Below are 24980 nucleotides of genomic sequence, written 5' to 3'. Positions count from 1 at the left end.
GGGCAATAAACATTAGTCCATCATCTATATCCAGGATCTGTAAAGAAAGCTCAGAGTGTATTAAAAGTAAAAAACTGATAATAATATAAATCACAAGTGTTTAATTAGAGAGAAGAAAGTATTTCCCATTTCTTTAAAACCAAATGAAGAAACCGTTGATAACAGCATGGAGAGCTAAATATGTACCCCTGAAATCTTATAGATGCAGGAATTGGGATGTAGCTCATACCCAAAAAGACTGAAGCAGATAGGCTAGCAATAATGGCATGCTTCTGTGGCAAAGAGACAGCAACGGGAATGGCTGCCTCTCTGGAATGTGGCAGGACAGGTTACATAAATATCTCTTCTAAGTCAGGCGAGGTCTCTGTGTCAGAAAGCCAGACTTGAGGCATTGTAAAAGGAGGCTTGATGATAAAGAAATTAAACTTTGGATGGACCACAAGGATTCATATGGCATATGCACCCTTTGAAACTGTTTTTTTTTTTTTTTCCTTACATGTTGTTTATTCTTCTTCCTCTTCTTCTTCCTTTTTTTTTTTTTTTTTTTTTCTTATGAAGTCTCACTCTACACCTAGGCTGGAGTACAGTGACACAGTCTCGGCTGACTGCAAACTCCACCTCCCAGGTTCAAGCAATTCTCCTGCCTCAGCCTACCGAGTAGCTGGGATTACAGACACGTCACCTTGCCCAGATAATTTTTGTATTTTTTTTATTGGAGACAAGGTTTTATCATGTTGGCTAGGCTTGTCTCGAACTCCTGACCTCAAGTGATCCATATTTTGTATTTTTTTTATACAAATTATAACTCAAGTAGGTCTTTATAATTTTACGCAATTTTTAGGATGTTCTATTTGTTTATAGTTTTTCAAAGCTAAATCTAATGTTTGATGAGCATTTTCTACATTAGTTTCATTTAAATCTAATTATTTCTTAAGTTAAAATTCTGGAAGCCAAATTATCAGGTCTTGGTAAAAGGATATTTTACATAATTGATGTTCACTTCAAAATCTCCTCTTAAGTAGACTATAACAATTCAGATTACTACTGGATTCTAAGTTTCAAGAAAGCAAAGACTGTGGCCCTTTTACTTCAACATTTTATCTTTATACCTTTAACTTATTTTTTTTGAATTATTGCACTAGCCAGAACTTCCACAGTAATGCTGAATAAAAATTATGACAGCAGTGTATTTCTCTTGCTTCTAATTTTAAAATAAGTGTTTCCACATAGAGTTTCAACATAGAGTTGAGACTTACATACTTCAAAAATATATGTTTGAGATGGATTTTGCAGACACCTAGTATAATGCCTGATCCATAATGATTATAATTTACACAAAATATATATTTGGCTGGGCAGTGTCCCATGCCTGTAATCCTAGTACTTTGGGAGATGAGGCACGAGGATTGCTTCAGCCTAGGAGTTCAAAACCAGACTGGGCAACATAGTGACACACATCACTACAAAAAAATTTGAAAAATTAGTCAGGTGTGATGGCACGCACCTATGGTCTCAGCTACTTGGGAGCTGAGTTGGGAGGATCATTTGAGCTGAGGGGTCAAGCATGCAGTGAGCCATGATTGCACCACTGTGTTCCAGTCTGTGCAATGGAGCATCACCCTGTCTCATAAATAAATAAATAAATATTTTCAGAAGAATGAGTGAACTAGGATATAAATACATCAAGATCCATAATTCTTACAAATACTGGTTACTATTATTTTACTCTTCTATATTTGAAATTTCAAAAGGCAAAAATTTTTCTATTTTTAATTTGTATTTCTTTGATCATTATGGAGGGTAAATTGTATTAAATATAAAGTGATTTGGAAACATCTGACATATTTCTGTATGACATGCTCAGATCTCTTGTCCAGATTATTTTGTAGTATTTTTTGTCCTTTTCTTACTGATTCATAAGAGCTGACATGTTGACATGATTGATGACACATTGATGCTACATGGTACAAGTATTTCCCCCTGCCCAGTTGGTACTTTCTTTCTTATTTTTCTTTAAGACATTTAATATAACTCAGAAGTTTCTAAACTTTGAAAAATAAATATATCAACATTCTGGGGGTATAGCTCTGTGGTAGAGCATTTGACTACATGAACATATCAATATTTTCTTTTCTTTCTTTGCTTTTATATTCAGAAAGATTTTCCCTTTTTCTCACTATCTGGTATTTGGTACAGGAGACTATTGTATATTTTTTCTCAAGATATATTAATTGAATGAATTTTGTTTATTATGTCATTTGTTTTCCACTATTAGAAAATGTATATTTACAGCAGAATAAAGGAGTAAAATGTTCTATTCAACAAATACTGGAAAATTAGTTCATAAAAACTTGCCATTCAGAATAAAAAAAGTCTTACTAAACTAAATGTAAAAGGAAATATAATAAATGGTATCTACAAAAGGCACACCTCAAATATTCTAGATAGAGAAATATTGAAAGCACTTTTTTAAAATTATAAAAACAACTCACTTTTTAAATTCTACTCAAAGTAAGTGTCTTGACAAGTGTGATAAGATAAAAAATAAATAAATAAATAAATGAAACAAAGCTGTCATTATCTGAAAGTGACATAATTATATAATTTTTTAAAATCTAGTAAAAATTACACAAAATAATACCAGAATTTAGCAAATTTGATGGGCATAAGATTGCATTTCAATATTCCCACAACCAGTATTTGGCAATAATAACTTAAATTTTACCATTTATAACAGCAACAAAACAGTAAATTACTATAACGACAACAATAAAATACCAAGGTATAATGGTTAATTTTATGTGTTAACTTGACTGGACCACAGGGTGCCCAAATATTTGGCTAAATATTATTTCTGGATGAGTCTGTGAGGGTGTTCCTAGATAAGATTAGTATTTGAATCAACAGACTGAACTGATTGCCCTCTCCAGTCCAGATGAGCATCATCCAATCCATCCAGGGTCTGAAGAGAACAAAAAGGTGGAAGAAGGGTGAATTCTCCTTCTCTCTCTGCCTGTCTGCCTGAGCTGAGATATGCATCTTATTCTGTCCTCAAATTGGAACATATTCCACCAGAGTTAGGTCTCTGCATGTATGTGTGCGTGTGTGCATGTTGTCTGTGTGTGTATACGTATATTGCAGAATATACATTTTGTTTCTGTAAAGAACCCTAACTAAGGCTGGGCACGGTGGCTCACGTCTGTAATCCCAGCACTTTGGGAGGCCGAGGCGGGCGGATCACGAGGTCAGGAGATCGAGACCACCCTGGCTAAAACGGTGAAACCCCGTCTCTACTAAAAATACAAAAAATTAGCCAGGCGTGGTGGCGGGCGCCTGCAGTCCCAGCTACTTGGGAGGCTGAGGCAGGAGAATGGCGTGAACCCGGGAGGCAGAGCTGGCAGTGAGCCGAGATTGCACCACTGCACTCCAGCCTGGGCAAAAGAGCGAGACTCCATCTCAAAAAAAAAAAAAAAAAAAAAAGAACCCTAACTAATACACAAGGAATACATTTTTTAAATGTACCAAAGTTTTATGCAGAATATTATAGAAATTTACTGCAAGATATTAAAGGCAAGGTAAGTAAATATAGGGATATACCATGTTAATAGATTGGAAAACAATTATAAATGTCAATTATCCCCAAAATGACTATTAATTTAAAGAAAATTAATCCTTTAAAAATTCTGAATGTAATATTTTAATGAAACTTTATAAATTACTTCTAAAATTTATATGGAATAGCAAAGCACTCAGAATAGCCAGGATACTTCAGTAGAAGAATAAGGAGAGGATAAGACTTTCCAAATAAGAAGACTTACTATAAAGCTACAGTAATTAGAGCAGTGTGGCATTAGAGTATGGATAGGCAAATAATAATAATAATAAAGAATCTACAGCCCAGAGGATCCCATGCTCTTAGGAAACACTGACATATGCAAAGATGGCATGGCAGATTATAGAGAAAGAAGACTGTTTAGTAATGAAGCTGGAAAAATTAGTTCCATATGAGTACAAAAAATGAAATCAGATCCTTATGTCATAACACACACGGAAATCAACTCTACAGGGATAAAGAACTGAATCTTTGTGTGATAAACACTTACATTATATCTGTGTGCCAGAAAAAGATATAGGAATATACATAGCTTCTTGACAGTCTTGTTCTTAGCATAAAAGAAAAAAAAATGGCAACAATCCAATGTCCATCAACTGGAGAGTAAATAAACTGTGCTCTTTTTCACACAGTAGAAATTATGTAACAGTAAATTTAAAGGTACTGTAGCTGCATACAGTATTAATAATATAAAGTGAAAAGGCATGTCCAGAGACTACATATGGTATAGTTATTATGAAGTTCAAAAGCAAGCTAAAACTAAATAAAATAATGTTATGGCATGCATTAGATGTACCAATTTTTTAAATGGCAATTCAGAAACAGAAAAGCAAATACCGCATGTTCTCACTTATAAGTGGGAGCTAAATGATGAGAATACAGGGACGCATAGTGGGGAACAACACACACTGGAGACTTTGAGAAAGTGGAGGGTGGGAGGGGGGAGAGGATCAGGAAAAATAACTAATGAGTACTAGGCTTAATACGTGGATGATGCAATAGTCAGTACAACAAAGCCCCATGACACAAGTTTATGTAATAAACCTGAACTTACACCTCTGAAGTTAAAATAAGTCACATACACACATACACACACACACACACACACACACAATTGTATTTGCATCCGAGAAGTGAAAGGGAGGTAGTTGAGGAGAATGGTTTAGGTAGATGTAAGGTTTTCTACTATTTCTATTTTTGGCTTGGGTGGCAGTTTCACAGAAGCTGACTGAATAAATTCTGAATAAATAAATCTATTAATTGACTAAATAAATGATTAAAAAGACAGTCATATGTAAAATTAGTAATAACAGCATATATAATCCAGATCCAGAAATTGAGAGAAAAGTTTTGTATTTATTATAAACTAAATTTGAATCTTGACTGAGATGCCCCTCTATTATTTTTCCTCTGCATTCCCTATTTGCTTGTAAGAACTATTGTCTTTCATTTGTAGTGCTTTATCATGTGTTTTATTAGGCAGTAGACAAGTCCACCTATATTATTCTTATTTAGTACAGGTAGTTCTTTTTTTGAACAGTATGTATTAACTATAAAACATACACATAAGAACTGTACTCTTAATTTGCACAGTTATTTAGTTACCATGATATTGTGAAAAATGAGGGTACCACATACATGAGTTGCAGTTAGCACCATAAACACAAATTGCAGACTGCTTGTATTCTTGTTATTATAATAATTCTTACTTTATGTATGTATGTCTGTATTTGTTTACTTAGTTTAGAGATAGGCTCTCACTCTGCCATTCAGGCTCTAATGCAGTGGTGTGATCGTAACTCACTGCCGTCTCAAACTTCTGGGCTCACAGGCTCAAGCAATCCTACTTCAGCCTCCTGAGAAGCTGAGACTACAGGTGTGCACCACTGCATCCGGCTAATTAAAAAAAAAATTGTAGAGATGAAGTCTCACTTTGTTGCCCAGGTTGTTCGCCAGCTCTTGGCTTCAAGTAATCTTCCTGCCGCAGCCTCTCAAAGTGTTGGGATTACAGATGTGAGGCACTGTGCCCAGCCAAGCTTGGTATTCTCACATGGAGAGTTGAACCCAGGCTGCCTGGGTCAGATGTATTCTTAAGTCTTTCATTCATACATTCTGCTGGAGAAATTTAGAAATGTGTCAAGTAAAAAAATAAAGTTTTTATTAGAATTGCATACAATTTATAAGCTAATTAGGAAGTAATAACCATATTTGTAATATTGCATCAAAACTATTGCAACAAATAAAAACACTTGGTAAATTTGTCAGCTATAAAATAAAAATACAGGACAAAATATTGCAGGCTGTGTCAGATATAAAACTCTATTAGATGTAATTGGAAGTTAAACCTCATTAGTCCACAGAGGCTCTTTCTGTGCTCTTGGGCAGAACCATCTTCTAACAATCATAACTTGATCAAGAGTGTCTTAACTGCCTGGGAATGTTCTAGGGCACAGATCCAGATTTCCAGTAATAGAACTTGATTTCCATGGGATAATGAAATCTGTGAGAAAATATCCAAGTGAAAAACAAGTCTGATAGAGTATGTAAGTAGAGCAACAGAACCTGAGTTTCAAAAGAGAAATAGTATTTTCAGAGAGAGTATGAGAATAGACCTCTCCATCCCCTAACATTGCCCTTTGGATGTCTGCTTACTCTAAGACAAAAAATGACATAAAATAAAGGAAGAATTTACCACGGCGCCAACATACATGCTATGAGAAACTTCAGAAGACTCGTCATATAAAGAAGAAAATTTTCTTTTCTAATGGCTAGAGGGAGAAAGCGTCAAAAATAGAGGATATCTGTGACAACACTGGCAATTCCATCAGCAACAATCTTGGGCTACAGAGGTCATGGATGACCAGAGGAAGGAACACTAAAAAGAAGAACCCCAGAAATGCAAGAAGTAGCTTCATTTTATGCCAGAACTCTGTCTCTCTAAGGACTCCCAGGAGAAATAGCTTAGATATTTTGCAAAACCGAAACGGAAACCTAGACTTCCTGTGAGTCAAAAAAGTATACGTTTGGAGATTTGAGGTCTAAGGTATTGTAAGAGTGGCAAGGGACCATGTGGGTGAAGTAAAAGAATCCCCCGAAGCTTCATTAAATGTTATATGATAATAATATGCTATATTAACAAAAGTGATTTTATTCCCCTGCCTTCTTTCACTCTGTGACCCTTCAGTCATTGAGACATTCTACTGATTTGTCTCACATGAACTGAAAACAAGGGGGAAAAAAAAAGATGCCATACTTTCTTGAATTTGGAATTTTAAAATTCCACTCTCCCAAGAGCAGCAGAGAGGACTCTAGTACACAGGCCAGACAATAGATGGGAAAATGCAGTTTACTTAACAGCTAGACTCTTAACCACCTTCATTCTCTAACTCGAAAATCAGTAAAGATTTCTTAGACAGTGGGAAGGAAGGTGAATTGAAAGGGTAGCAAGTCATGAGTCCCTGTGAAAAAGGCTTTTGTCCCTGTAGGAACACAAAGCAATAGCAACACTTACACTATCCTCAGTCAATACTGAGGAAGTAGCAATAAACCATATTACAATTTGCGGTGGTAGGTGACAAGACAGACAAGTCAATACAGCACTGAAGAGCTCCATAGCACCCCAGAAATGCAGAAACAAATGATTCCAGGCTGTCATAAAGTAGCACCAGAGTAGAAGAAGGATGAAAGAGAAGGGACAGAGAAGCAAAGCAAAGGTCATCTGTGTAGACTGAGGCATCATCATGATCCTATCCTTGCATGCTTCTTGTAGCAAACAATTTTGACAATTATGTTAAAAGCATTAAAGATAGATGAATACTTTGACTCAGCAATTTTACCTATAGAACTTTTACTAAGATATTACTAAGGGAGAGTTCAGATTCCAGAAATGCCATGGACAAAAAAAAAAAGTAAAATCTCTCATGCTTTAAAATGTTGAAATTGTTTTAAATGCCTGACAGCTTGTGAGGAAGGAAAAATGTCAAGTATCATAAGTGAATAGGTAATTGAAAGCAGAATATTTTGAGCTGATGGTGAGGCTACTGTAGGCAGGAAGGATAAGGATTTTCTGTCTGTGCGATACAGCATCTTGGATACAAGACAGGGAAGAGAAACTGAGACTAACATAAACCTAGAATCCCCAAAGTGCTATACCCTTAGTGAAAGGGCAAACTAGACAAATATTCTCCCCACCGGCACAGGGAAGTGGAAAGAAAGCTCATCTGTATTACTGTGGGCTATAGAAGGAAAAAGAATAATCCTCAGAGGTTCCAGTTTTGTATCTCACATTGGTTTAGGGTTCAAATTTTCATTACCTATGTAATGTCAGTACCACCAATTGAAGAAATTAATATAAAATTTGTTAATAATTCTGAGGCTTCTTTTGCAGAACACAGTGCAAGCTACTACAAGGTTTTCTGACAGCAGGGAAAAATTAAGCCTTCCTAATGTGTGAGCTAACAATAAAAAATTAAAAGCAAAAATTAAAAGCATATGAGGAAAGAATCTATTATGAGTTAAAAGACACATCTGATTTATAACCCCATGAACATGTTGTAATATCAAGATCACTCAAATAAGATACAAAATAAATGTAAAATTAATTAAAATGTAAAAGAAAAATTGAAACCTTAGGGAAAAAGCATGACATAACGAAACAATACATCTCAGAAAAGAACAAAATATATATTTTAAAAATGCAGTTCCATTGAAATATATACATGCATATGTTATAGAGAGACAGACACATTAATAGGTAGACATAGATAGCTGATAGAGATAGGTAAACAGCAGTCTATATTTAGCTGAAAAGGGGATAATTGAAATGGAAAAAATAGTTGAAAATATCACACAATTTCTATCAGAAGAAATTACGACATAAAAAAGAGATATATTTAAATGTGTTAAAAATATCTAACATTTATCTAAATAGGAGCAAAAGAAAATGACAGAGAGACTGTAGAAAAATAAATGCTTAAGATGACAATAATTGAGAATTATTCAGAATTTATACGTAAATATATTATAATAAAGTAGGAAACAGAAAACAGAGACAGAGAGAAAGAAAGAACAGGAACAAAAGTGAAAGCAAGACAGAGAATAAGAAAGATAGGAAGAGCTAAGAGAGAAACTGTTCAAAACTATGAGAGAGTAGCAATATATTACTCACAAATAAATGGCAATCACTCTTACAGAAAAGCTCTTAGTGATGCTCTGATAAATAAGTTCCAGATATATACCTTTACAAGAGGCAAAAACATAAAGTCAGAGAGTTTTGAAGTCAAAGAATGGAAATGATATATAAAGTAAATGAAAGTTGGTTATATTAATATCAAGCAAAACAGACATACGGACAAATAAAAGAAAAAAATTGGCAAAGCATTACAACATAATGCTAATGCTCTGATCATGTGGGTAACTAACATGACTTCAATATACAAGACATATTTTGGCAAATGTAGCAAATATATATACAGAAAAATATAGTAAAATATAAAGCAAAAATTATGGGGAATTCTAGAAGAAAATTTTACTTCTCTAAAGTTATTGACAGATTATTTTGATTAAAAAGTAAAGTAACAAGAAAAAACAACATCTAGAATATATACTAAGACATTGACATTATCCCAGAAAAGTAAACATATACTAACCATATGATCCAACAATTTTACTTCTAGGTATATATTCAAAAATAATAAAAGCATGTTTTCACACAATGACTTAAACATGAACATTCATAATTTCATGTTTAAGTAATAACCTAAACTAAACTTGGAAACAACTAAAATATCTATCAATGAAATAGTAAATTGGTGTTACATTTATACAATAGATTACTACTCAGCAAAAAAAAAAGATGTATGCAACAACATAGATGCATCTCACAATAATTATGCTAAATTAAAGAAACTAGACCAAAACAGAGTACATTCTATATGAGTCTATTTATACAAAATTCTAGAAAATGCAAACTAACCAATAGTAAATAAAGGAAGCAGATTAGTTTTGCCTGGGGATGGGGGATGGGGGTAGAGGGATGGGAGAAATGAAATACAAAGAAGACAGATAGAAGTTTTTGGGATTGACACATGTTCATTATTCTGATTTTGCTGAAGACTTCAGTGGTGTTTACATATATCAGCACTTACCAAATACACACTGTTTCGGAGTACTATTCAGCAATTGAAAAAAAGATGAGATTCTATCATTTGCAGCAACATGGATGGAGCTGGAGGATATTATGTTAAGTGAAATAAGAGAGACACAGAAAGATAAACTGCGTGTTCTCACTGATTTGTGGAGACTAAAAATTAAAACAATTGAATTCCTGGAGATAGATAGTAGAATGATGGTTACCAGAGGCTGGGAATGGAAGCTGGAGAAGTGAGAAGTGGGGCTGGTTAATGGATACAAAAATATAGTTAGATAGAATGAATAAGATAAGATCTACTATTTGATAGCACAATGGAGTGACCACAGTCAACAACAACTTATTGTGCATTTTAAAATAACTAAACATATAACTGGAATGTTTGTAACACAAAGAAATGATAAATGCTTGACATAATGGATACCCCATTTACCCTGATGTGATTATGCATTGTGTGCCTGTTTCAAAATATCTCATGTAACTTATAAATTTGAGTCTCCCCTGCCTGGTATTCCATCACGCGTGGTCCTGCCATCCTGAGATGTCAGCAGAGCTGGGGTTGGTGTTGGAAACACAGGCGTTCTTCACTTTCCGAATGAGCAGTGGCTTCCTAGAGAAGGCTCATCCTGGAAAGTCAGGGTGGGGCTGCAGGGGAGCTCTCTGGACTTACACTCGGGGGTCCTCAGCCATCTCTGCCTTCAGGTGGCACCAACAGGATCAAATGTTAATTTTTTCTCATGGCTCAATGACCACTTTTTCCCAGGCTACTTGGCTTTCTTGTGGCTTCCCACGTTTCTTATCTGCATCTGCAGTAGACACAAGTTTATATCTATACTTTAGAAGCAGACAATGGAAGGAATAAAACCACATTCCTCATTTATTAAAGGGAATAAAATTAAATGTCTTACTATAAAAAAAAATAAATAAATTTGCGTACCTACTATATATCCACAAAAATCAAAAATAAAAAATGGTTTAAAATAAAACAAATTTGAAATTAAAAGACTACTTTTAAATGTGACATTTATTGTCAGTTTTACCTCAATAAAGTTGCTAAAAAATTATAACTGATTAATAACAGCTCTACAAATCATAATGTGTCATATCCAGCAAAAATACTAATCAGAAATTCATACTTTTAAAAGAGCATAATAAAATGAGAAAGGGACTAAAAATTAATGAGCTAAGAATCTGCTGAAGAAGTTAGAAAAATAAATAATATAAACCCCAAAAGAAAAATCACAAAGGATAGGTTATATATTCAAAGGAAGTAGAAGGAAAAAATATAAGGTCTGCTAATATTAAGTTTTAGGAAAGCAGTGAGAAGCAAGAATTCTTGTACATTACTTCCGAAAGTGTTATTTGGAATAACCATTCAGGAAGAAAACTAGCTGAAGTGAAGTTAAAGATATGCATATCCTCATTTCCTCCTAAATCTGTTTACCTTACAGAAGTTTTGTGCTGTACATGAGGATGCATATACACAGATATACTTGTGCATATACAAATAATGCAACATTGTTTGTGACAGCAAAATAATTTGAAAATGTAATTGTCTTTAAATATGAGTGGAAAAATGAAAGTTCAGTCATGAAACAGAACATTATATAGCAGTTATAGCTAATAATATAGATCTATCAACATGGATAAATCTCTAAAAAATGATGTTGGGCAAAAACTCAAGATGCAAAAGGAAATGTACAATGCTGGTGAATCGTTTTTGCTTTTTGTAGATAATTAAGTATGTGACAAATGTTCAGGGTCATTGATGGGAATGGCACACACTTTCTTAAGGACAGTGGGTACACGTGGGGAGGTAGGGAGGACAGACTTCAGCTGAATTTGCTAAATTTCATTTCTATTTATTTTTTAACTCTGTAATGTAAATTAAATATGACAGAATAGATACAGGGTTGTTATATATCTATATCCTGTAGGATATTTTAAATTATTCAAAATTAAAATGTTTAATTTAAAAATATTTAAAAGGTATGCATAAATGTGTAACTATTAGAATGTTCATTGAGCATTGATTTTTTATTTTAAAAGAAACTAGAAAGAGCATAAATGTCTAATCATATGGAAATTATTCAATAAACTGTAGTACGTTAATAGAATAAGATAATAATCATGCATTAAAATAATATAGTTAAATAATACTTGATAACATAAAATATGTTAAAAATAAAATAATAAAAAATAGATTAAGATAACTGAGTACTATATTATTCTATTACTATACTATTCTAACACTATTAGAATAGTACTATAGTATTCTTCATGACATGTTTGTATATACGCATATCTACACACATGCAAAACCATGTGGAAATAGTTATAGAAGGAAAGTGATCTGTTTCCTCAGGATCGAGGGCTTTTTCAGGACACAGGACTTTCAATGCCAAAACCACGAAAGTCTCAGGTAACTGAGACAGTTGACCACCCTATCCGGAAGATGCTGCATAAAGAATGAAAACGAGCAAAGTAAAATTTTAACTCAAAATATGGCACAAGATGCAGTTGGAATTCCCTTACTGTGTGTGGGGAAACTAGCTATAATTTCTGCAAGTTGAGAACATAAAAAGGCTAGTTCTGGTGTTACCTGATAAGAACAGATAGAGTTTCTCATCAATTTTGTGAGCATAGCTGGACAGGTCAGAGAATATCAGAGCTGGAAAAGACACATCTTTTCACAACTCCTCTCTTTAGAGATTAAAAAACCAAAAAGTATGTAAAACAGTAGTTTACAACAACTGGTAATTTAGCCCTCAGGAAACAAGTGGCGATGTCTGGAGACATTTTTTATTTTCACAGTTGAGGGTGCTACTGGCATCGCACTGGAAGAGGTCAGTAATGCTCCTAAGCATTCTAGAATACAGAGAACAGTTTCTCACAACAAAGAATTACCTAGCCCAGAATGTCAATAGAACTAAGGTTGAGATACCTGGTTTAAGACATTTCCCCATTGATATCACAACTAGATCCTGCCAAAGAAGTTTCCATTGTCCTGACCTTGTTCAGCATTCTTGTCACTATGTAAATTTGGAGGGCTGTTCTCTAAATGTCAAGCATAAAATGGACCTTTCGATTATTTCATTTCTTCCTGGATATAGTTTATATATACCACTCTCCACTTACACTTCTTCATTCTTTTGGGTATATTTGTATCACTCTCCTGAGTTAATCCATTCTAGACAAATATTATTCTTAAAAAACAGCCATCCATCAAGTCTGAAAAAAAATAAAACCTCGTCTGAAAAACAAATTGGTTGCAATTGTAGATTCATCTGGTTCCTTGATATATATCTGTAATGCTGATTTAGTACTTCTGATAAGCATTTCCCCAACTGCATCTTTTTAGCAGCATTAGAAATAATGGCTAAAAGAAATGAGTCTTTTCATTTGCAGTATCTACATTTGGAGAGTATTTTAAATCAAATTGATTGCTAGGATATTTGTAATGTCCAAATGTTTGATTGCTTTGCTGTGTACCATACAGAAAAGTAGTAACACAGAGGCATGCCATTAAACAGCCTTGTTGTTTTCTTTCTTTTTCTTTTCTTTTCTTTAGTTTTATGAAGCTGCAATTAATAGAAGTAATTTAGCAGCTGTTAGGAGAAACTGCCTAGGATAGTTTGTGTATGTATCCAGTGCTAGAGAATTTTTGCTCTGTTGTAGATCTTTATCTATACTTAGTTGTGTTTAGGATTTATGACAAAGCCGTGTGTTAATATCTCGATTATCATTCTGGTAAGAGAGGAAGCATCGTAGTTTCCTCTTAAGAGAGAATAATAACCTAGAGAGATAAGGAATATGACCTTGAAGTGTTTTTGTTCATGCATCAAGACTCAGTTCATGCATAAGTATGCTGAGGGAGTAATCAAGGTGGCTGTTTCTGTCTTCCGTGACTGCTGGGTGTTATTACCCAAATCAAGCACATTAAAGACATTGTGGAGGACATAGGAAAAGAAATGAGACTTTAAGTATATGCCTAAAAGGTATTTTTAACTTAAGAGTCTGTCTAACAGGGAATCATTTTTCTTTTGAGGAGCAATGGATGGTCAATATCAGTTATTTGCCAGAATGTAAGTTAAAAAGAGTGTGCCCTAGGTGGGCACTTTTGAAGATAATTTTGTTTTTGAAAAAATAAAAATTATTTTACAATTATTCTACATACCATCAAGAACATTGCTCTGTTCAGATACTATATGACATCAAAGCATTCCAAGTATTGCCAGAATTTAGTGCAGAGATGCAAGTTTGTGAGTGATTAATAAAAACCTCTTGGCTTAAGTAATAGAGAAAGTAATGAGAAAATATCAACACATGAGTTTAGCAAAATAAAGGCATTTAATCTTATCTAGACACTCAGAAATTATTTGGCACAATCTCAAGTTAATCATTCTGTTTACAGGAAAAAGAAGCTTTTAGTACAAAAGAAATTTTTTCCTCTTAATAAAGTGCAAAATAAGAAAACAATTTTTCTTTTGTCCAATCATTGGAATGATTGGAATAAGGAAATGTGAAAACCCACTGAAAAAGAATCTGGCTTTAAAAAATGGTACCACTGAGTGTCCCAAAGTTTGTTTCTCTTGATGTCTTGAGATTTCAATGTGTGCCAGAATAACTGGGCTGTGGCCAAAAATTCAGGCTAGCATTGAGATTCTTTTCTACTGCTGTGAAACTGCACCAAAGAGTGCAACTACAGGGACTCTGAAATGTGCTCTCACTTTGCTATTGTAGGAATATTAATAGCTGATTTCATAACCATTCATTGCCTTCAGAAAACAGGTACTTTTTTTCTATCAAAGACCATTAAAAACAGTCATAACACACATATAAATACAAAATAACTTGTTGGTTATAGCAGCATACTTTGGATGTTCATGCCTTCCAAATCTCGCGTTGAAATGTGATCCCTAATGTTGGAGGTAAGGCCTGGTGGGAGGTGTCTAGGTTGTGGGGGCAGATCCCTCATGAATGGCTTGGTGCCCTTCTTATGGTAATGAGTGAGTTCTTTCTCTGAGTTCCCGAGACCTGGTTGTTTAAGAAGGATGTGATATCTCTTTCCTCTTCTCTCTTGCTCCCGATCTTGCCTTGTAATATGCTGACACCCTCTTTGCAGGGCACAGTGGCTCACACCTGTTATCCCAGCACTTTGGGAGGCCAGTGGGCAGATCACAAGGTCAAGAGATTGAGACCATACTGACCAATATGGTGAAACCTCGTTTCCACTATATATATATATGCACAAAATTTAGCTGGGCATGTTGGCACGTACCTGTAGTTTCAGCTGCTTGGGAGACTGAGGCCGGAGAATCGCTCGAACCCAGGAAGCAGAGGTTGCAGTGAGCCAAGATCGTGTCACTGTACTTCAGTCTGGTGACAGAGCGAGACTCCATATCAAAAAAAAAAAAAAAAAAAAAAAAATCTGCTCTGATTGTAAGCTTTCTGAGGTCTTCACCAAAACCTGATGCCAGTGCTGTGCTTCATGTATAGCCTCCAGAACCATGAGCCAAATACATCTCTTTTCTTTATAAATTACCCAATCTCAGGTATTCCTTTTAGAGCAACACAAATGGAGTAACAAATAGTATAAACAATTTTTACCCAACAACATCCTGCTTTTACTTTCAAGCAAGCTATGAAAACATTGATGAATATATACAGAATGAATGAATTATTCATATAAATTTTAGGCTCATATATTACCTTGCAGATTTCCCAAAAATTTCAGAAATTGGTTATTTACCTTTCAATCTTTGCTTTAAGCAAGATGAATCCCATTTATGGATGAAGAAACAGGTTCAAGACTGTTGCATGTTTTGCATAAGGCTACAAAATTAATAAATGCTTGGGATGAGAATAAAAATGGTGTCTTTTGTACTAATGTCTTTTATCTGACTGACAAATAAAAATTATACTATCTTTGGTGAGAGATAATATAATCTAGAACATCTACAATTTTTTCATCTCAAATTCAGAAATCTGATAAAAAATTATATATCATGCTAAAAAAGAGAACAATATATAAGAAATCAACAAAATAGCCGGCAAAAGAAAGAGAACAGATGGTTTAGTCTTTAAAATAACTATAAAATAGTCAATAAAATAAACACATTAAGAATTTGAGCAAGGAATTAAAATCTATTTTTAAACAGGCAATTCTAGAAGGGTGCTATCCAATACAGTAACTACTAGCCACTTGTTGCTATTTAAATTTAAATTAATTCAAGTTAAGTAAAATTTAAAAGTCAGTTCCTTAGTTACACTAGCTGCATTTTAACTGCTCAGCAGTTAGATATGGTTGGTGGTTACCATGTTAAATAGTGAAGGATACAGGACATTTCTATAATCCTAGAAAGTTTTATTAGACAACAATGTTCTAGAAATAGAAATTATAATAATTGAAATTAAGAAAGCCATAAGTGGGTGTCATATCATACGAAATACAGCAGAACAACAGATTAGTAAACTGAAAAAACAGTAATTTGTAAACATCTAAATTTGTAATGGCAGAGTGAGATCAACAGACCTTTCCCCCCAAAAAACAGCTATTAAAATGGATAAAATTATTTAAAAACAAAAACAAAAAACATCAATAAAGTCTCTGGATAGAGTCCTAAGGACATACAGAATATGGAGAAACTCTCTTAAAGAAAATCTACTAATCTCAGTAAGAACAGTCAGAATCTGTGGCAATTGCACCATTACTTGTTCCCTTCCTTACACCCCACACCTGCTCAGACTTACGGAAACCCTACTCCTGGCACATGCAACCAAGAAGTCAGACACTCCCTCTACACTCAATTTTAAGTCTAAAGCTATAGTTTCACTGGTATTTCTCATACCTCTTAGCACTGTATAGCAAAAGTATATTTTAGGTGAATAAGGCCAAAAAATCTGAAACTCTTTCCACACCTAGCACGTACTTACAGGGAAGAAGCTGTACTTCATACACAGTAGCCCAAGACTACTTGGGTCTTGACTACCCCTATGCAAGCTCACTTGTAGGATAGATTTTCAAAGCTTGATGAACAAGACAGTAAAGCAGGGGCTACCCTTGTACCCAGTGTTCACACTCCGGGAGAAGTGGATCTCAGTTTCAACCCTCAGTTCCTGTACAGTGGCACAGAGTTTCTGCCCAGTGGAAGAGATAGGCTATAAGAGGACAGACTTTCTTTAGAACAGTAAATCAAGCCTAAGGCCATACCACCCTGAATGTGCCCGATCTTGTCAGAACAGTAAATCAAGAATTTCATGCTGTAAAGTCATGTCCAAGTATGTTTCCTCTCAAGAGTGATCAGAGAGGGAACATACAAACTACTGATTATATATATGGGAAAAAAGGTAAACTCGGAACTGTGACAGCAACCTTCAAGCCAGGCATACAAATTCAGTGGTAAAGGATAAAGATCTAACTGACTAAGATGACTAAAACACAACCTGTGACCCATAAACAGCCTATGGTAACACAGGAATGATAGCTGCTAAACAATAAAACCAAGAGAAAAAATCTGAACAAGGTTATCAGAAGCTGTACATTAAGGAAGGAAATAGACTTCATAGAATTAGTTCTTTCAACTCATTAAACAAATAAACAAAGACCAAACAAAAACAATAATAATATTAATAATATTTCCAATGGGATCAGTACCAGTGTTGCTACAATATATTATCTAAAATGTCCACTTTTGAACAAAAAATATCACAAGACATGCAAAGACACAGAAATTATAACCCATATGTAGTAAATAAATGAAAGTTCTTTTGAGCTGAGACAAGTATTAGATATAACAGAAATGGGTTTCGGAGAGCAAAGAAAGCCCTGTCTAAACAATTAAAGAAAATATAATAAACATTTTCCACTAAATAAAAATATAAACAAAGAAATAGAAATTACTTTAAAAAGAACAAAATAAAAATTCTAACATTGAAAACTGTAATCAATAAAATGAAAAATTATTGGAGGGTTCAATAGTAAATATAAACAAACAGAGAAAATAATCAGTGAATTTCAACATAAATAGATACAAATCAGACAATCTGAAAAAGAGAGAGAGAAAATAATGAAAAAAAAAAAACAGTGCCACAGAGAAATGTGAGATACCAGTTAAAGCACCCACAAAAACAAAAGTAATAGAAGAAGTGAAAATGAAAAGGGGGCAGAAAAAATATTTGAAAAAATAATGGTTGACAAACTTCACAAATATGTTGCAAAATATTAATACATACATCTAAAAAGCTCAACAGATACCAAGTAGGATAAAAGCAGTAAATGATACCAGATTGCTACTATAGTCGAAACTTTGAAAATTAAAAAGAAAATCCTGAAAGCAGTAAGAGGAAAAGTGACTCATCACAACCCTAGGATAATTAACAGCTGACTTCTCATCAGAAACAATGAAAGCAGAAAGCAGTGGGATATCATATTTAAAGTGCTGAGAGTGAAATAGCTGTCAACCAAGAATTTTACATTAGGCAAAAGTATCTTTCAAAAATTAAGGTGAAATAAAGACATTCCAAGGCTAGTAAAATATCTTAATATGTGTTCTTAATAGACCTGCCTTACGGGGAATATTAAAATAATTTCTTCAGGTTGAAATCAAGTAACACAAGACAATAATTTAATTCTGTGCACAAATAAACAAAGAATGTCAATAAAAATCATTAGGTACATAATCACAAAAGATGATCTAATTACATTTTCATTCTCCTTTATTCTCTTATCTTACTTAAAAAGTTATTGTAAGGCATTCTGGTTTTAGCTCTAACATGTAAAGAGGTTGAAATTTTTGATATATGTTTTTGCAAGAAAAAGTTGAAAAATGAAAGACTTTAAAAATTATTTTTAAATATTTGATATTAAAATTTAAACTTTAAAATGTTACTTGAAACAGAAGCCATCAGCCATAAACTGACCCATCCTGCAAAAAATTTTAAAAGTTCTTCAGGGTAAGAAAAATGATAAAAGTCATAAACTTAGATTTACATAGAGAAAGAAAGCATTGGAGAAAGAGTATATGAAGGTAAAATAAAAAATTTATTTTTCTTAATTTTAATTGATCTGAAAGATCTCATTTAAGTAACAATAGTGAAAAGGTATTGGGGAATTAATAACATACGTGTAAGTAAAATGAATGTTGGTAATGCCATAAATGATGGCTGCGAGGAATTGGTAAGACTATTAGAAGAAATGTGTACTAACTGTGAAGACGTATGGTATTATTTGATGGGAAACATAGATTATTTAAAAAGACATACTGAAAAATTTGGGAAAACTAATAAAAATATAAAGAAATTTTATATAAATGATATGCTAACAGAAGAAATAAAGTTGAATCACATAATTAATCAGAACTAGATAAGGCAGAAAAATCAGAGTGGAGGAGAAACAAAACAAATTTAATGAGTAGAAAATAGTTACAAACATGGTAGATACTCATCCAATTATATTAATAATCAATTTGAATGTGAATCGTATAAATACATCAGTTAAAAAACAGAGATTTTCAGAGTGGATAAAAACAAGACCTAAACATATGTGGTCTATAAGAAACCAGATTTAAATGTAAAGATGCAGATAGGTTAAAAGTAAAGAATGAAGATCTATGTCAAACTAACTTTAACCCCACCCCCCCAAAAAAAATGGAACAGCTGTATTAATTCTAAAAAGCTGATGTCAGAACAAGCAAAATTTTTAGATATAAAAAGGAGCATTACATAATGATAAATTAATCAATTATCCAAGAACACATAATAATTCTAAACAAAAATGTTAAAAGGAAAGAATAAAGTTGGAGGAGACATACTTCCCAATTTCAAAACTTAATACAAAGCTAAGCAGGAAAGTGGAGTACCGATATGAGAGTAGACAATCTGGTCAATATTTGTAGGTTTGAGAGTTAGAAATAAACCCACAAATTTATGGTCAAATCATAGTCTACAAGGGAGCCAGGACAAATCAATGCGGGAAATAAGCGTCTTTTTATCATATGGTGCTGAGACTTCTGGATATTCACATGTGAAACAATAAAGTTGGACCTCTACCTCTCACCATATACAAAAATTAACTCAAAATTGATCACAGACCTAAATGGAAGATGAAAATTATTAAACTCTTAGGGGGCAACATACAATTAAGTATTCACAGCCTTAGATTAGGCATGCTTATTTAAATGACAACAGAAACAAAAGCTATAAAAGAAAAATAGATTAATTTCACTTCATCAAAATTAAGAACTTTTGTGCTTCTTAAGACACCATGAAGAAATTGTAGAGAGATGTCAAAGAATGGCAAAAAGTATTTGTAAATCACTTATCTGATAAAGACTTGTATTCAAAATATAAATAAAGTTACAAATCAACAATAACGACAACACCCAAGTGACCCAATTTTAAAATGGGCAAAATATTTGAATTGCTATTTCTACTACATATTGTATGGAGTACAATACACTTAAGGAATGTTCTGCACATAAAATGGCCAGAAACAGTAACTCTATAGATACAGGGTTGATTAGAAGTTGCCTAGAGCTGGGAGTGGAAGGGAATTAATTACTGATAATGGGTAGAAGGTTTCTTTTTGGTTGCAAAATGTTTTAAACTTAGATTGTGGTGATGGTTGCACAAGTTTATAAATACACTAAAAATAATTGAAATATACATTTTAAGTTGATAAATGTTATATTAATTATATCTCAATAAAGATGTGTTTTAAAAGATAATATGCAAACTGTCTCACAAAGGAAAAATTTAGAAAAAAAAGAAAAAAATTTATAGATACTGTATAGTAGGACCATCTTAATTTCAGCTTTTCTTTGTTCTCATTTTTGCCTCTCTCTCTAACACATTAGTTATTCAGAAAAACATATGTGTTAAAAAATACTTTGCTATTAATTTGAAGTTTTAAACATTGATACTGTTTTCGTATTATTTTAATATGGAGATATGAGAAATGTACTTTTGGCTATTGATGACTCTTTTGTTCTTTGGATGCTTTAAATGAAAGCTCATTCTCTGCACAGTACAAAATAGTAAATAAATATGTTAAATTGCTGTATTACTTACATTATTTAAACCCCATTAAAAACATTTTTTGTTTATATGACCTAGAAAAGACAGAATGTTACAGACAATATGAATAACGAAATTGGAGTCTGTTTAAACTCTGGTTATCACATTTTCAACTTTTAAGTTATATAAGATTTTAGTTTTATCTTCTTTGTTTTTAGCTTTACATATTAGACGCAATTTATTTTGCTTAATATAGTCAAAATTGCTTTGAAATGCTTAGACATTTACTAATTTCTTTGCTCTATATTTCTTTTTAAATCCCACAACCTGCCCCTTGGATCACTTCCCCTTTCATTGAAATACCACTTTAACACCTTATTTATTGCAGATCTATTGTTTATCCCTTTATTACAGAAATATATGTATTTCACCCTCATTCTCTAAAGAGAATCTGGATAAATACAAAAATTAAGTTGACAAGTTTTTCTTTCTTTCTTTCTTTTTTTTTTTTTTTTTTTTAACCACACAGCTCTGAATCCTACACATCCTACTGTCTATTGTTCCTTTGGAGAATTCTGTTGCCAACCTAGTTTTTGTTCCTTTGTAGGTAATCTACTTTCCTCTCGAGTTGCTATTAAAATACTTTCTTTATTTTGGGTGTTTTTCAGTTTCACTTTGATGAGCCTAGATACTTATTTATTCTATTTATATTGCTTAAGAAACATTATGTTCCCTATATATTCAGCAATTTTGATACCACGTAGCCACAGTGACTATTTACATAGATGACTGTGCACTGAAGAAAAGGGAATTCTCCGACAGTTCAAGGATTATTGGTCTAAGGACTAGAGTTGACATTTATATCTGGAGAACTGAAGCATCATCAGGGCCCCACTTTTAGAGTGGGGGCAAATAAATGGCAGTAGTGAATGAAGCCGTGGTCAAAATCTGGCTGGTAATGAGCCCACTGGGTCCACTGACATACCCAAGACTCAATTGTGCAGGTCCTGAATCTATAATTGGGATCAACATACTTGAAATTTGGATTGATCCCTACATTGAGTCTTTGGTCTGTGAGTTAAAACTCAGCAGGTAAGGAGCCACATGAAAACCTCTGAAACTACACTTCACTCCAATCACGATAGTAAATTAAAAATAATTAGTAATTTAAAAATAATTGTGCTTCAGAGGATGGGGGATATTTACTCCATCATATTTTCTACAGAAATTGAATGGACCTTGAAGAATAATTTTAGTCCGTAGCAAGTTGAACTAAATAATATCCCTGATCACAGTTTCCATGCAAGATATGGGATTTTTCTTACAGCAGAATAATATGACCTTAGACACATGGTATATGGCTCAATTATGGTCTTCACAAAATTCATACGTTGAAGTCTTTTCTCTTACTACCTCAGAATGTGACTGTATTGGAGATAGAACCTTTAAAACGGTGATTAATGTGAAATGAGATCATATAGGTGGGCCCTAATCCAATATAGCTAGTGTCTTTATAAGAACACACAGAGGAATTCCACGTGAAGACAGAGGGGAAAGATGGCCATCTGCAAACCAAGGCAAGAGGCCTCTGGAGAAACAACCTTTCTGGGATCTTGATCTTGGACTTCTAGCCTCCAGAACTGTGAGAAAATACATTTCTATTGTTTGAACCACCCAGTCTGTGGTCTTTGCTACAGCAGCCTAGCAAACCTAACAAATTAATACACAGTATGTAGTCCTTTAATCAGTGGTGACTATGCTCTACTCTATCCCAATTTAAAAAGAGTGTTATAAACAGCTTACATTTAAATGTAAGGGACAACAATAATCATTCATAATTTTGCTTTTGGGCTTTGTTAACTCTCCTAGTTTTTGTCATAATAAAATCCACAGAGATTTGGACATCCAGCAGAACTTCACATTGATATCAATAACATCATACTGATTAGACAACATTAGAAAGTTGTAGCTAGTAAGTTAAAGGATTTGGAAAGGCACACAAATAGTGTGTCTATCTGTAGGACAGATAGTGAGAGATATACCTTGTGAAGATTCTGGGGCCTGCAACACCAGTAAAGGATTTAAAGGTTCAGAGGTCAAGTGTATGTAAGAACATCTCCTCCTGAGTAAAAGAAAAATTGCCGCCTCTTGCACTGTATTAGTCTGTTCTCACACTGCTAATAAACATATTGAGATGGGATAATTTATAAAGGAAAGATGTTTAATTGACTCCCAATTCAGCATGGCTAGAGAGGCCTCAGGAAACTTACAATCATGGCAGAAGGGGAAGCAAACACATCCTTCTTCATATGGTGGCAGGAAAGAGAAGAATGACAGTTGAGTGAAGGAGGAAACCCCTTATTAAACCATCAGATCTTGTGAGAACTTACTCACTACCACAAGAATACCATGGTGGAATCAGCCCCCATGACTCAATTACCTCCCACCAGGTCCCTCCCACCACATGTGGGAATTAAGGGAAGTACAATTCAAAATGAGATTTGCGGGGGAACACAGCCAAACCATATTATCCTGCCCCTGGCCCCTCCAAAATCTCATGTTCTCACATTTCAATAAGACAAGCATACCTTTCCATCAGCGCAGGTCTTAGCTCATTGCAGCATTACCCAAAAGTCTAAGTCCAAAGTCTCATCTGAGACAAGGCAAGTCCCTTCTGTTTATAAGCCTGTAAAATCAAAAGCAAGTTAACTAACTTACTTTTAGATAACTAACTCCATTAGATATAATGGAGGTGCAGGCATTGGGTAAATACACCCATTCCAAATGGGAAAATTGGACAAAACAAAGGGGCTACAGACCCCATGCAAGTCCAAAATCCAGCGAGGCAGTAATTAAATCTTAAAGCTCTAAAATAACCTCCTTTGAATCTATGTCTCACATCCAGATCACACTGATGCAAGAGGTGGGTTTCCATGGCCTTAGGAAGCTCCACCTCTGTGGCTTTGCAGAGTACAGCCCCCTCCTGCCTGCTTTCATGGGCTGGCATTGAGTGTCTGCCACTTTTCCAGGCACATGGTGCAAGCTGTCAATGGAGCTACCATTCTGGGGTTTGGAGAACAATGGCCCTCTTCTCACAGCTTCACTAGTCCCTAACTGGGGACTCTGTTTGGGGGCTCTGACTCTACATTTCCCTTCTGCACTGCCCTAACAAAGGTTCTCCATGAGGGCTCTGCCCCTGCAGCAAACTTCTGCCTGGATATCCTGGCATTTCCATACATTTTCTGAAATCTGGATGCAGGTCCCCAAACCTTAATTCTTGACTTCTGTGCACACACAGGCCCAATGCCACATGGAAGCTGCCAAGGCTTGGGGCTTGCATCCTTTGAAGCATTGGCCTGAGGTGCATGTTGACCCCTTTTAACCACAGCTGGATCTGAAGCAGCTGGGATGCAGGGCACTATGTTACAAGGCTGCATAGAGCAGCTGGGCCCTGGGCCAAGCCTGCAAAATCATTTTTCCCTCCTAGTCCTCCAGGCCTGTGATTGGAGGGCTGCTGTAAAAGTATCTGGCATCCCCTGAAGACATTTTCCCCATTGTCTTGGTGATTAACATTCAGCTCCTTGTTACTTATGCAAATTTCTGCACTGGCTTGAACTCTCCAGAAAACGGGTTTTTCTTTTCTATTGCATCATCAGGCTGCAAATTTTCCAAACTTTTATGGTCTGCTTCCTCTTGAATGCTTTGCCACTTAGAAATTTCTTCTGTCAGATACCCTGAATCATCTCTCTCAAGTTCAACATTCCAAAGATCTCTGGGGCAGAGACAAAATGCATCCCATCTCTTTGCATAGTAAGAGTTATCATATTACAGTTCCCAACAAGTTCCTCATCTCCATCTGTGACCATATCAGCCTGGACTTTACTGTTCATCTCACTATCAGCATTTTGGTAAAAGCCATTCAACAAGTCTCTAGGAAGTTCCAAATTTCCACATTTTCCTGTGTTTTTCTGAGCCCTCCAAACTGTTACAACCTCTGCCTGCTACCCAGTTCCAAATTTGCTTCCACATCTTTGGATATCTTTACAGCAGCACCACACTCTTGATACCAATATACTTTATTAGTCCATTCTCACACTGCTAATAAAAACATACCTGAGACTGGGTAATTCATAAAGGGAAGAGGTTTAATTGACTCACAGTTCAGCATGGCTTGAGAGGTCTCAGGAAACTTACAATCACGGC

General features: G+C 34.5%; 1 long non-coding RNA gene across 1 annotated transcript; it reads right to left on the bottom strand.

Annotated features, from left to right (window-relative positions):
- Positions 1 to 5225: 5225 nt before the first annotated feature.
- LINC02392 (long intergenic non-protein coding RNA 2392) lies at positions 5226 to 12606 on the bottom strand. Its single transcript, NR_135018.1, has 3 exons — positions 12364 to 12606; positions 10432 to 10567; positions 5226 to 5725 (listed from the first exon to the last, which is right to left on the bottom strand). It is a non-coding gene; the product is annotated as a long intergenic non-protein coding RNA 2392 (long non-coding RNA).

This window comes from Homo sapiens, chromosome 12 (genome assembly GCF_000001405.40).
Source record: "Homo sapiens chromosome 12, GRCh38.p14 Primary Assembly".
In the NCBI taxonomy this organism is placed as follows: Eukaryota; Metazoa; Chordata; class Mammalia; order Primates; family Hominidae; genus Homo; species Homo sapiens.
Note: the sequence above shows the minus strand (reverse complement) of the source record. Positions and strands in the feature narration are given on the sequence as shown.